At 40.0% G+C, this 12,960-nt stretch overlaps 1 protein-coding gene and 1 long non-coding RNA gene across 26 annotated transcripts in view; one reads left to right on the forward strand and one right to left on the reverse strand.

Moving 5' to 3' along the window:
- Positions 1–12,960, reverse strand: part of PDE4D (phosphodiesterase 4D) — a 1,553,091-nt gene that overhangs the window by 70,728 nt on the left and 1,469,403 nt on the right. The gene's annotated exons all lie outside the window — the stretch shown is intronic.
- PDE4D-AS1 (PDE4D antisense RNA 1) overlaps positions 1–12,960 on the forward strand; it is a 23,745-nt gene continuing 10,785 nt past the window's right edge. Inside the window, exon 1 of the long non-coding RNA NR_198970.1 lies at positions 1–305. This is a non-coding gene — a long non-coding RNA (PDE4D antisense RNA 1). The remainder of the gene's footprint in view (positions 306–12,960) is intronic.

A 12,960-nucleotide genomic window follows, 5' to 3' on the forward strand; every position in this document is an offset into this window, starting at 1 on the left:
GCCACTCGCTTTGAAGTGCAGACGAGGAGGCGCGGGCGCGAGCGTGTGTGTCTGTGGGGCTGCTGTGGGACTGTCTGTGCTAGGAGAGCGGCGGAAAACCCGGCGTGGAGCGCCTGCAGTCCGCCGTCCGGGGTCGCGCCCGCCGCGGGGCTCAGGAGGGACCGGCACGCAGGCGCGCACGGCCGCGCACCTGTCTCGCTAGAACCCCGCGCGCCCCGCCGAGCCACTGCCCTCCAGGTTGCCCAGACCGCTGGAGCCTCTGCGACTCCACGACCGGCTGCTTCCTGCGAAGTTTCACAAACAAGGTTATTTAGGACCCTCAAGGTTTCTGAGGGTTTAAGTTTTAGGGTTTCTGGGGGTTCGTTTCTAAAGGCTTAGGATTCACCTACTTCAAGGAGGCAGGGTTGTGGGAATTAAGACCGCATTCTTTTTCTACCCAGCCCAGTCCCTACTAAGTACCAGACTTCTAAATGTTGGGGCGGACAGAAACAAGCAAACAAAATATACAATGTTGTGGGGTCGGAACGCTTTATAATTCACAAATTTGACAATAGGCTGCATTTTCATATGCCGAATTGCCTAAGAGTTCTCTTAAAGGAACAGCAATGTGAAAGAACCACATGGTAAGGAGAATTTACGCATGTCCTGCATACTACTCCTTTCCCCTGTGAATTGCATAAGACCTAGATGATCTTGGGCCAAGGAAGAAAATCTGGAAGGGTGTTTCTACCCACCATGTGCAGAGTACACTACAATTTTGAGAAAACGGAAAGACCATATTCAAAGGCATACAGAAAAGCCTGTTCTGTTTACAAAGGCTGACCCAGGGCACCAGGGACACTGTCCCTAAGCAGATCAGTTGTGGGAGAACTTTTCTACATTAGCATGCAATAAGCAAACCATTCATAGTGAGGAGAAGTCAAACTCCCAAGGGTCCATTTGATAAAACTTTGTCATTGTCGAGTGGAAAGAAGATACTGAGAAACTTACACTAAGTGGTGGGATCCCTTGTCTTTGTCTTTGAATCTACAGGTATTGGAGAAGAAATTCTGCCCTTGAAATTTAGACTCCATAAATTAACATGGCACAACAAATAAAGTTCATGGACTGAATTTAGGCTCCTGGGATTTTTGAGATAGCTTTTTATGTGAACTTTGTAAAAGTTAGAGTAACTTTTAAAGTAGTTGTTACATGTGCCACGTGGCTTATTGTTATCAAGAATACTTGAACTATTTACTGTTCACTTTGAGTACTCTAGGTTAAAATTTGCCTCTTTTTTGTTCTACTTCCTCCACCCCGCAGTCTATGTAAATATATACTTTAGATGGACAAACAACTGCCTAAACCTTGCCAGGTGAATTAAAGTTTCAGATTGAAGCTTTTTTTTCCCCCTTAACAAGCTTAAAGATATTAATAATTTTAAATGGTAAATATAAAATACCTGCTCTGTATAGCTTCCCCAATTCTAAGAATGTAAAAAATATTACATGCTTGTTATAAAAATTGAAGCATTACACACAAATATAGGAAGTCCATTGTAACCCCACACCCTAAAGATCACAAACAATACTTTCGCCTATGGCTCTAACACAATCATTTTCATTTTACTGAATAACTTCCATATGCAAGTATAGCATCACCTAGTTGCCATGGTAGTGCATCTACTATATGGTTTGGTTTTGATATTTTCCTCTCTCTCTCATTCCCATAATATAGGAATGTAGGAAATTTTAAGAGGACATTGACTTGTTTTATGATCATTTGAGCTGTCCATAGTTAGCCTATCCAGTGGATTAAAGATGCATAACCATTGTGTCTGGGATTTGTTCAGTGCCATCTTTTCAATCATTGGTTACAATGAAGCTGGGAGTCCCCTCTGAGGTTCGGCTTTCTGTGGCTCCTCTCCCCTGCACTCCAACTTTCTCAAAGCCTGAGCCTCAAGTGATTTCCCAGTAGCTAAGTAAACTGCCCCCTTCCTCCATCTTCACCAAGTTCCCAAAGCTGTTCAGACTCAGGCTTCAAATCTAACAGGATGTGGCTCCACACATTATATTTCAGTTGTTATTTTTTAATGTGGAAAATAATTCAGGAAAGTTTTGGCTAATGCTTCAAGACATCATGCACTTTATACACAGGATTTGTTCTTAAGAAGGTAGTATAGTGACAGGAGGAACAATTTACTTCAGAATATCCATTTTATGTCCAAGCCATGCACCAGCCACTTTTGACAGACAGGATTTGAGTATGATGATAAAATGGGGTAAGCATATATTTTAAGTTCTAACATCTGTATAAATAAGAAAAATGAAAAATCACTGGAACACATCTACATGCTAGTGAGAAAATAATTACTAACAGAGTAAAGTTTGCTCTGTGAAACTGTTGCTCAAATAAAGAATTATTCTTGATATTAGCATAGAGCTGAGAATATTGCTTTTTTCCAAATTCCTAGGTGAGTAGGCAATATAGCTAGCCACGATTTTTCAGGATCATTTGTAAAGCTTCACTTTTAGGAATTTTAACCCCAAGTGTTCTAAGACATCAAGTAACTGACCTTTTCATCCCGCCGAACAAACCTCAAAGTGGAGTTGCCAACTATCCCACAGGAAATTGAGTCACCACACCAAGCAACACACCTAAATGTCGACAGCTAGCAGGACAAAAACAGTGAGCCAGTTTAATTTTGGCTTTTACCAAGAACACATACTGCATTCATTAATAAAATACTTCCCCTCAACCCCTGCCAGAGTAGTATACACTGTGGCTCTCCTTAAAAATACATGAAAACTCTTTAACTGCACCAAATCTTGCTAAGTCAAGGAACTAAACAGAGAAAAACACCCAAGCAAAAACTATTGGCTAAACTCCCTAAAGGCTGGGAGAGGGCTATGGAACAGCAACTGAGAAATAAATTGAGCCTTGAAGGCCCCTGCTACAACAGCATCAGTTTTCTTCAAGGCACCTTTGAACTATGTAACACCCGCATTCTGCTGAGGCTCTTCTGTGAACAAACAGTCCTCAATTCTTGCGGGCCAGCACTTGGCTTCTGTCACAGTGATATGCTTAGAGGTTCCCCTGACACATGGCCTGAAACTGTGCCAGGGGCTCCAGGAGAAGATGCTGAAGAAGCAGCTTCCTTTTGAAAAAGGAAAAAAGTAATCACCTCAGAGCCACAGCAGTTAGCTAGAGGTTGAGGTCATTTTTTGTGAAATGTTCAGTCCATTACTCTTACCCACAACTCACAGTGATGTTGACCATTGAGGTAAAAGGATCCACTGTACGGGATGTGTAACTATGTGGACATTAGTTTCTTTGCCAACACTTGAAGGTCTGCTAAAGGACTGTATCGGCTTGTCATAATTCCTAGATAGACCTATTGGTATACATGAAGAGAACAAGTCCAAAAAATACCACTTATTTTGGACACTATTTGTATGCCCTTAATTTAAAAAAAAAATACAAATTATAACAGCTGAGGTCGGGCACAGTGGCTCACGCCTGTAATCCCAGCACTTTGGGAGGCCAAGGCGGGCAGATCATGAAGTCAAGAGATCAAGACCATCCTGGCTAACACAGTGAAACCTTGGCTCTACTAAAAATACAAAATACTAGCCGTGCATGGTGGCGGGCGCCTGTAGTCCCAGCTACTCGGGAGGCTGAGGCAGGAGAATGGCGTGAACCCGGCAGGCAGAGGTTGCAGTAAGCTGAGATTGGGCCACTGCACTCCAACCTGGACAACAGCAGAAGACTCCGACTCAAAAAAACAAAAAAAATTATAACAACTGATCCAGATTTTTTTTATTATTACACTTTAAGTTCTAGGGTACATGTGCACAATGTGCAGGTTAGTTTCATATGTATACATGTGCCATGTTGGTGTGCTGCACCCATTAACTCCTCATTTACATTAGGTATATCTCCTAATGCTATCCCTCCCCCTTCCCCCCACCCCACAGCAGGCCCCGGTGTGTGATGTTCCCCTTCCTATGTCCATGTGTTCGCATTGTTCAATTCCCACCTATGAGTGAGAACATGCGGTATTTGGTTTTTTGTCCTTGTGATAGTTTGCTGAGAATGATGGTTTCCAATTTCATCCATGTTCCTACAAAGGACATGAACTCATCCTTTTTCATGGCTGCATAGTATTCCATGGTGTATATGTGCCACATTTTCTTAATCCAGTCTATCATTGATGGACATTTGGGTTGGTTCCAAGTCTTTGCTATTGTGAATAGTGCCACAATAAACATACGTGTGCATGTGTCTTTATAGCAGCATGATTTATAATCCTTTGGGTATATACCCAGTAATGGGATGGCTGGGTCAAATGGTATTTCTAGTTCTAGACCCTTGAGGAATCGCCACACTGTCTTCCACAATGGTTGAACTAGTTTACAGTCCCACCAACAGTGTAAAAGTGTTCCTATTTCTTCACATCCTCTCCAGCACCTGTTGTTTCCTGACTTTTTAATGATTGCCATTCTAACTGGTGTGAGATGGTATCTCATTGTGGTTTTGATTTGCATTTCTCTGATGGCCAGTCATGATGAGCACTGATCCAGATTTTTTAAAAATAAAAGAACTACAACAAAAAGCTCCTAAGAGCAAATACTTAAATCTCCCTAACCAGTTCCAGCTTCTCTTCTCTTAATTCTTACAAAATTTCCCCTTTGTTCTACGGAAGGAATTGATACTGTCTACAGTAGATAGAACTGGAAAAAATGATTTCTGTTTCACCGTGTATTGCTTTGAGCTAGTCATTCCTTTAGTTTGCTACAGTAAAAGATTTGTGTAGGTTAGGTCTAACTTTTGCTGACTTAATTTTTTTTCCTCTATACATTTTATCTGATGGGAAATACATGAAGGCTTTGGATTCTCTTTCAATGTGTACATGTAATAGGTTTAAGCAGAGTTTGCTAGTGGCAAGCTGCTCTCATCTCCAAGTGTATTTCTGGCATCAAATTATTGTTTTGAAGTATTTTAAAATTGTATAAAATATATAAAACTTTATTTAGTACTTCATAAAGCTTCCAAAGGAAAGATGTGTGCAATTTTGTGACGGTTTTCTTTTTCTTTTATCTTCTCACTAACTACAATTGTTTTTCCGAATGTTGCCTATGCCTCTAGTAGAATTTTTATATGAAATAAACATGAGGTTGGCTTTCATTGACTTTTAGTCCCACCAGTAACTCAACATTTATTTAGCACTGACTATGTGCCATGCACTTTATTAGAGGCTGCAGAAACAAGATGATGAAAAGAGTGTGTCCCTTACCCAGAGTCCAGCAGAGGAGGTAATTTCAGCAAACAACTGTAGAGTGCACTCTCACAGAAGGAAGCATGTGGGCTATGGGACAGTAAAAGAGGACTATTTAAATCAGACAGGGACAGAGGTGGAGTGGGAAAAGGCTGAGTCCTCAAGAATGAAATAAAAGAGAGTGGGAAGGATTTTTAAGAGAAAAGATGAGCAAGCACACAGACCTATGATGAACAAGATGTCTGTGTCGGCCAGGCGTGGTGGCTCACGCCTGTAATCCCAGCACTTTGGGAGGCCGAGGTGGGTGGATCACCTGAGGTCGGGAGTTCAAGACCAGCCTGATCCACATGGAGAAACCCTGTCTCTACTAAAAATACAAAATTAGTCGGGCTTGGTGGCACATGCCTATATTCCCAGCTACTTGGGAGGCTGAGGCAGGAGAATCGCTTGAACCTGGGAGATAGAGGTTGCAGTGAGCAGAGGTTGCGCCATTGCACTCCAGCCTGGGCAACAAGAGCATAAAAACTCTGTCTCAAAAAAAAAAAAAAAAAAAAAAAAGATGTGTGTGTCAAAAAAGAAATAACCATGAGTAGGGCCTTGCTTAGGGGAACAGATTCTGGAGAAATCTGAGAAATCCTCAGCCACTGGCCATCTCAAAGACTGGCCATGTCAGGCATCTGCAGGTAGGACTATATCTTCAAGAGTAGGAGTCACAGAGTGACTCAGAGTACTGTGTGACATGGGATCTGATTTTATTTTATATGGAAAATTCTAGTGCTATGCAATTAATGGAATTTAAGAAAGTAAAGTTGAAGTCAGTGCAACCATTATCTTTGACCATATTAAGAATAAAATTAAATAACTTATAGACCATTTGCTTCTCTGACGATTATTCTTATCTAAGACAATCTCTGTATTAAAATCCTACGCAGACATATGTTCCCACAATATGTCAGGTATGAACAGAAGGACTGCCCAATGTGACTTGAAAGGGAGTGGACTTCTTGCTCTTAAAAACTACAACCTTGTAGTCACTAACTTATTAATCATACTGTAATAAGATGGAGAAAAAAACAATGGAATTCACCAGAATTTCTTTCACGAGAGTCTGCCTGCATTAAAATGTTCGATAAAGCTATTTATGACAGAAGGTGAGACTTTGAAGAGCTTTGGTTTGGGTGGAACTAATCTGTGCCTCATCTACACAGGAAAGGGGAGGAATATGCCAGTTGCTAGAGAGGGAATATGTATGTGTGTGCATGTGTGTAAGCGCATGAGAGAGCGAGAGAATGTGTGTTTGTGCACATGCATGTGTGTGTGTGTAAGAGAAAGGAGTCAGCTTGGTCTCTGTGTGTGCATGTATGTAAGGGCATGAAAGAGTGAGAGAGAGAGAGAGAATGTGTGTGTGTGTGTGTGTGTGTATGTGTGTGTAAGAGAAAGGAGTCAGCTTGGTCTAAAGGGTAACTCCAATTTGTACATTTTTCCTTTCTCCCAATCATCAATAAGGTTATTGAAGATGTGTGTGTGTGTGTGTGTGTGTGTGCATATAAGAGAAAGGAGTCAGCTTGGTCTAAAGGGTAACTCCAACCCGTGCATTTTCCCTTTCTCCCAATCGTCAATAAGGTTACTGAAGGTACAAAATCCCGACTTGTTTTGTTTTGTTTTATTCATTGAAGGGACTGAGCTTGAAGGCCAGATTGGCCCAAGCAGAAATGTCTCTCTGAGCTGACATAAGAGAAGAGTCAAAGAAAGAGGAGAAAGCTTTTATAAGAATAAGGAGGCCTTTTGTCCAAAAAATTGGAGTTTGAGCTAAGTTTAATTAGGCATCTAGGTTGGGGGCTTCATGTGACATGTGTGCAACTGTGAGTGATATTATTCTTTGAAAGAAACTGGAAGAGTGGAGAAAGATTCCAATCTCTATTCCACTTCATACAAGCAATTCCAGGCAATTCAGCTACTAATCTTTCTAGGGCCTTATTTCACCTATAGATTGGAGATAATAACAAGAGCCTTGTAAGTTATTTTAGTTCAAGTGAGAGGTTGTGAGTTAAATAATCTTGCATTGATTGCCTAATAGATTCTTTTCCCTTCCTCCTCCATTGTATCTTCACTTTCTCCTGGACTCAAGTCTCTAACTTAAATGCAAACATTCTATTAATTTTAGTGAGCCTATCAACTAATACCTAGGTATAACCTCGGGGTCCAGAAACTTAATAGTTACCTGGAACAGTTTTTAGGGTAGTTAGAAAGAAAAAAGAATTTCAAGGAATGAACAGGGATTCATTCTGAAGAAGTTCACTTAGAGAACACAGGCCATTCAGGAAGCTACAAACAGGTAGGGATATAAAGTTTAGATCAGACAGTGGACAAAGATAAAGATGGAGAACTAGTCTTGGAGGACTTGTATACTATTCTAAGACAATATTTTCTTCTAAAGAGGCCATTAAAAATCTTCTAAGTGAGGAAGTCACATGGTCAGATTTGCTTTTCAAAAAGATTACTCTGGGAATAGTATAAAGGCAGATCAGAAAAGTAAAGACCAGTTAAGAGGTTGGTGACCAGATAAGGAGAAAATCCTAAGCAGTCCCTGAAGGGGAAGGAGAAGCTGCAGAAAGTTAGGAGGAAAAACTCTCAGGAGCAAAGAAAAAGGAAATGTCAAAGGAAAATATTGTTATGGACTGAATGTTTGTGTCTCTCCAATATTCATATGCTGAAATCTAATCCCCGGTGTCACGGTATTTGGAGGGAAAGCCCTTCGGAAGTAATTAGGTCATGAGAATGGAGCCCTCATGAATTAGATTCGTGCCATTATAAGAAGAGGCCAGAGGTTGCTCTCTTTCTACCATGTGGATACATGCTATGTGGGCAGTCTGCAACCCTGAAGATGCCCTCACCAGAACCTGACTATGCTGACACCCTGATCTCAGACTTCCAGCTCCCAGAACTGTGAGAAATAAAAGTTTGTTGTTTAAGCCATCAGTTTATGGTATTTTGTTATAGCAGCTTGAGCTAAGACAAATATCAAGGCTTTGCCATTGATATTCAGTACAGACCGTATATACCCACAGGTTTGCGCTAAGATAATTTTCATTCCAAACACATATTTCAGCAACACAAGACTAAAGAGGGTGTTAAAGAATGCTACTGAGGAAGCTTTTGTCTGGGAAGTTGTTTGAACAAAGTTACAGGACAATTTTTGCAAACAGGTTTAAAAAAAGTTACAATTATGTATGCTATTTACGTATTCTTGTTGTAATTTTAGGAATCAATTTTATTTCCCTGGGGGGACTGTAGGAGAGCATCTGTGTTTCCATCATATACTATCAATCTTAGGATATAACAGTCTTTTGTTCTTCACCTTTGTCAATTACTGCATACAGTATTCCTTAGAGAAAACAAGGAGTTTGAACAGATTATCTTTAGCACCTACCCAGCTCTAACATTCATTTATTATCTGATTTCTGAAATTGTACTATCTGGGTTAGGTGTTGGTTTTAAGGTTGTTCATTATAGTTAGCCTGGATGGGGTCAGCTATGTTTGTAGAGGGAATTCCTAAACTGACCAGTTACTTGTCAAGGATCCCATCCAATACCATGATCCTGGAATTCTGTGAGTTTAGCTCAACTGTTCTTCAGGGGTACATGTTTTCTATTTGAAATTGAGGTATTCTCAGAAATAAAGCTATTAATAAATAGAAAGTTCTGGAGTATATTTACACTCACTCTGCTTATCTCCACTCCTACCCCTACCATATTCCCATCCAATACTTTGCCAGTTGACTTACCAATTTCTTCTTAATTTCTGTAACTGTCACCTTCAGTCAAATTCTCATCTGTGTATTTCTAGATTCATATAATGGTCTACTACTGGATCTCCTTGGATTCACTTTTTCTCAACACAGTCCTATTTATAAAGTCAGAATAATCTTCCTTAAACCCTGGTTTTATTGTTTCATTCTTTTAAGAACCTGCTGCACAACTCTCTCCTACTTATTGTATTAATGTCACACTTCTGTTCACATAGGCCTTTTTCGGCTGCTTTTCAATACCTTTCCCTTTTATTTACATCTAAGACTATCCCATCCAAGACTGCCCATCTTAGCCAATCTTTCCACCTGGAAATAATTTGCTGGCTTCTGCCTGTATGACTTTTCTAATGTCATTTTTATATTTGTGTCTAGGCCTTTCTATAACTGTCTAGAAAATTCCTGACATTTACAGGCACTCAGCAAATATTTGTGAGTGAATAATCAGTAAGTATGCTTGTTTTCTATCAGATAAGAATATTTATTTCCAAACGAGATTCAAACAGTAATACTGGCCTGGGTGTGGCTTCCTACATGTAATCACCCTCGTCTATCTCTTGTTCTCAGTCTTTTGCTTTCAAACTCTTTCTCTTTTTTTAAAAGAGTATTAGGAACTAACATTGCCAAAATTTGGTAATGGTCAAGCAGATCATGGTGTCTTACTGAAGTGAAATATTAACATTAAAATAAAAATGACAAGTATTATGGTATATCATTCATATGTAATGATCCTTACAAAATAGAGTAAAATTTTAAAAGAATTCACCAATACACCAGTATGATGTTTGGGAGAAACAGATGAATGCACAAAGGTGCATCTGATGCAAACACCCCCAGAAAAATGAGCATAAGTTCATATTATCAATATTTTTCACTCTAAAAGTGTTCACTGACTTCCCTGAAGTCACCAAGGACTCCAAGTTAAGAATACTTTCCTGAGTGAAGAAAAGAAAGCAATTATTTTAATCAACACTGCCCCAGAATCTTTTATTCGGAATCGCTATCTCTGCTTTCTTCTTCTTCTTTTTTTTAACTTTCTCATAAATCTCTGTTTAGCATTTATATCTCTCTCACTATGAGATACCTAAGGGTTAAGAAGTAATGCCAAAGAGACATTTGTCCAGTTGAAGACTGGGATTAAGAAAAAACACACAGCCGGGCATGGTGGCTCATGTCTGTAATCCCAGCCTTTTGGGAACCCAAGGCAGGTGGATCACCTGAGGTCAAGAGTTTGAGACCAGCCTGGCCAACATGATGAACCCCATCTCTACTAAAGAAAATACAAAACATTAGCCACGCATGGTGGCGGGTGCCTGTAATCCCAGCTACTTGGGAGGCTGAGGCAGGAGAATCACTTGAACCCGGGAGGCGGAGGTTACAGTGAGCCGAGATTGTGCCACTGCACTCCAGCCTGGGCAATAAGAGCGAAACTCTGTCCCAAAAAAAGAGAAAAAGAAAAGAAAAAACACACAAAAGATTTCCCGAAAAGACTAGGCCCTTTTAAACAGGCTATGAACAGAGTCTCAGAAAGGTAATTTCTTATGTACAATTTTTAATCTCATTACTTGCATTACAAGCAACACATATGAGTGATAAACTATTTTGGCCTACTGGTAAACCTACATTTGTTAACTGTGTGTGCATTATAGAGAACAAATTTCAGAACTCAAGAGTATATCGGTTATATTTGGCTTATCCAGTTGTATATGAACTGGCTCCATACACGAATAAGATAAATTAGTTTTATAATTTTACAAGAATATCTATGGAGATTTAGATTTGGCTAAGAAAGTTATTATACACACAGAAGAATCCACAACCTATAAGAGCTCTTCATGGGAAATAGTGTGATAGATCAGAAAGAGCATGGACTTTTGAGTCACTCAGAACTTGAATTCCAGCCTTGCCATTGTTCTAGTTGTATTATCTGAAATAAGCCATTTAAAAGACCTGAGCACATTGTATACATTGAGAATTACAGGGTTATTATGAGAAATGCATAAGAAATGTAAAGTACCAAGGGCTGTATCTGACATATAGAAGGTATTCAATCAATAGTAGGTATACTGAACCACTTTGCAGAGTTGTTTAAATAAGTTAATTTTAAATAAGGTAGTTAATATTTGAGAGTTTCCTTCCTTTTCCACAGATTCTCAATCCTAAAACAGTTACTATTTTTCCATCATCACCATCAACCCTCAAATATTAACCAGTTCTGAGCCAAATGTGAGTGAACAACCTATGATTTAGAATAGCTTTTAGACCAGGCACAGTGGCTTACGCCTGTAATCCCAGCACTCTGGGAGGCTGATGCGAGCAGATCACTTGAGGCCAGGAGTTCAAGACCAGCCTAGACAACATGGCAAAACCGCATCTCTACTAAAAATACAAAAAGTAGCCAGGTGTGTGTGGCACATGTCTGTAGTTCCAGCTTCTTGGGAGGCTGAGGCAGGAGAATCAATTGAACCCTGGAGGTGGAGGAGATGGTGCCACTGCACTCCAGCCTGGGCAACAGAGTGAGACTCTGTCTCAAAAACAAACAAACAACAAAATAGAATAGCTTTTACAAGACCACACCAAATCATGAAAAGTCAACTATGTAGGAAGAATATGTATTTGTCATTGGTTAATGACAGAGCATCACTTACACTGAGGTTACTGGGAAGATCATTTCAAACATTTCCCAAAGAATGTTCCAATCAATATTGTCCTTATAAGATTCTCCTTACTAATGACGTTTTGTGGTCAAACAAGCTTGGGAAATATTGTATATGTAGGCTTTTTACAGTGATTTCTAATGGACACGAACCTACCAAAAGCTAGAAGGTCCACAGCAAAATGAGATATTTAATTTTATTAACAAGCATTATCTAAACCTGTTTGATTTTAGAATGCATTTTTCACACAACAACTATCACCTCTTGAAGAATACCTGGAATAGGTTTTCCTATACCTATACCTATATGTCAGGTAACTCCAAAACATTAACAAATACATGTGTTTAGTAGGTTCCCATATGGTTGAAATCTCCACTAACGACATTTTATTTCTCTTCCTCCTGACTTTGTATGCTATCGAGAAATGGTCAGAGAGTAATCTTCCTCCCTCCCTTTCTTCTTTTCTTTCTCTCTTTTTCCCCCTGAAAGAGAATAGTCAAAAAATCCATACATATTTATTGAGCCTCTCTGATGTGATAGTTGCTGTGAAATACAAGAACATGAAAGATTCAGCAGCCTGGGCCCAGGAAGGAACCATAATAACCTGCTGAGAAAATCAGACACATGATCGGCTGCTGCCTAGAGACAGTGTAAGGTAGCATATAAATCATTCAGCCTGGGAGTGCTACTGTAGTTCGAGCAGGGAGAGGGAGGTATGGACTATAGCTCAGTGTGCTGGGTTTCAGGAAGAAGGTGAACTTGGATGTAGGTCTTCAAGGAAGACTGTGGTTTTAATGGCTGTGGGAGGAGGGAGTCCGCTGGCATTGTTTTCAGGTGTAGGAAATGTCTGCAGCCTGAATAAAGGTTGTATGTGTGGACAGTAAATGGGCTGGGTGGAGTAGACACATTCCAGGGAGGAGAAGGGATATAGAGTTGAACACTTAAATGTGTGGCCTTGAGCTAGTGGATATTGTGGGAATTGGATAAGTGCACTGGTAGCCTAAGAGGATAGAATGGAGAAGAGAGAAGGATGGAGACTAAGGAGCTATTGTGGTAGTCCAGATGCAGTGGAAAGCAAAGAGTTGTGGAGGTATCCACTTTAGTGGTCTACGATGACAGTTACAAGCAATAGAAAGAGTATGACTTGGGAACAGTGGTTCAAATGCTGGCTCTGCAACTTAGCAACCATGGGGCAAATTTGGGCAAATTAACTTCTCTGTACCTCAGTTTTCTTTTTTGT

Source organism: Homo sapiens, chromosome 5, assembly GCF_000001405.40.
Source record: "Homo sapiens chromosome 5, GRCh38.p14 Primary Assembly".
Classification (NCBI taxonomy): Eukaryota; Metazoa; Chordata; class Mammalia; order Primates; family Hominidae; genus Homo; species Homo sapiens.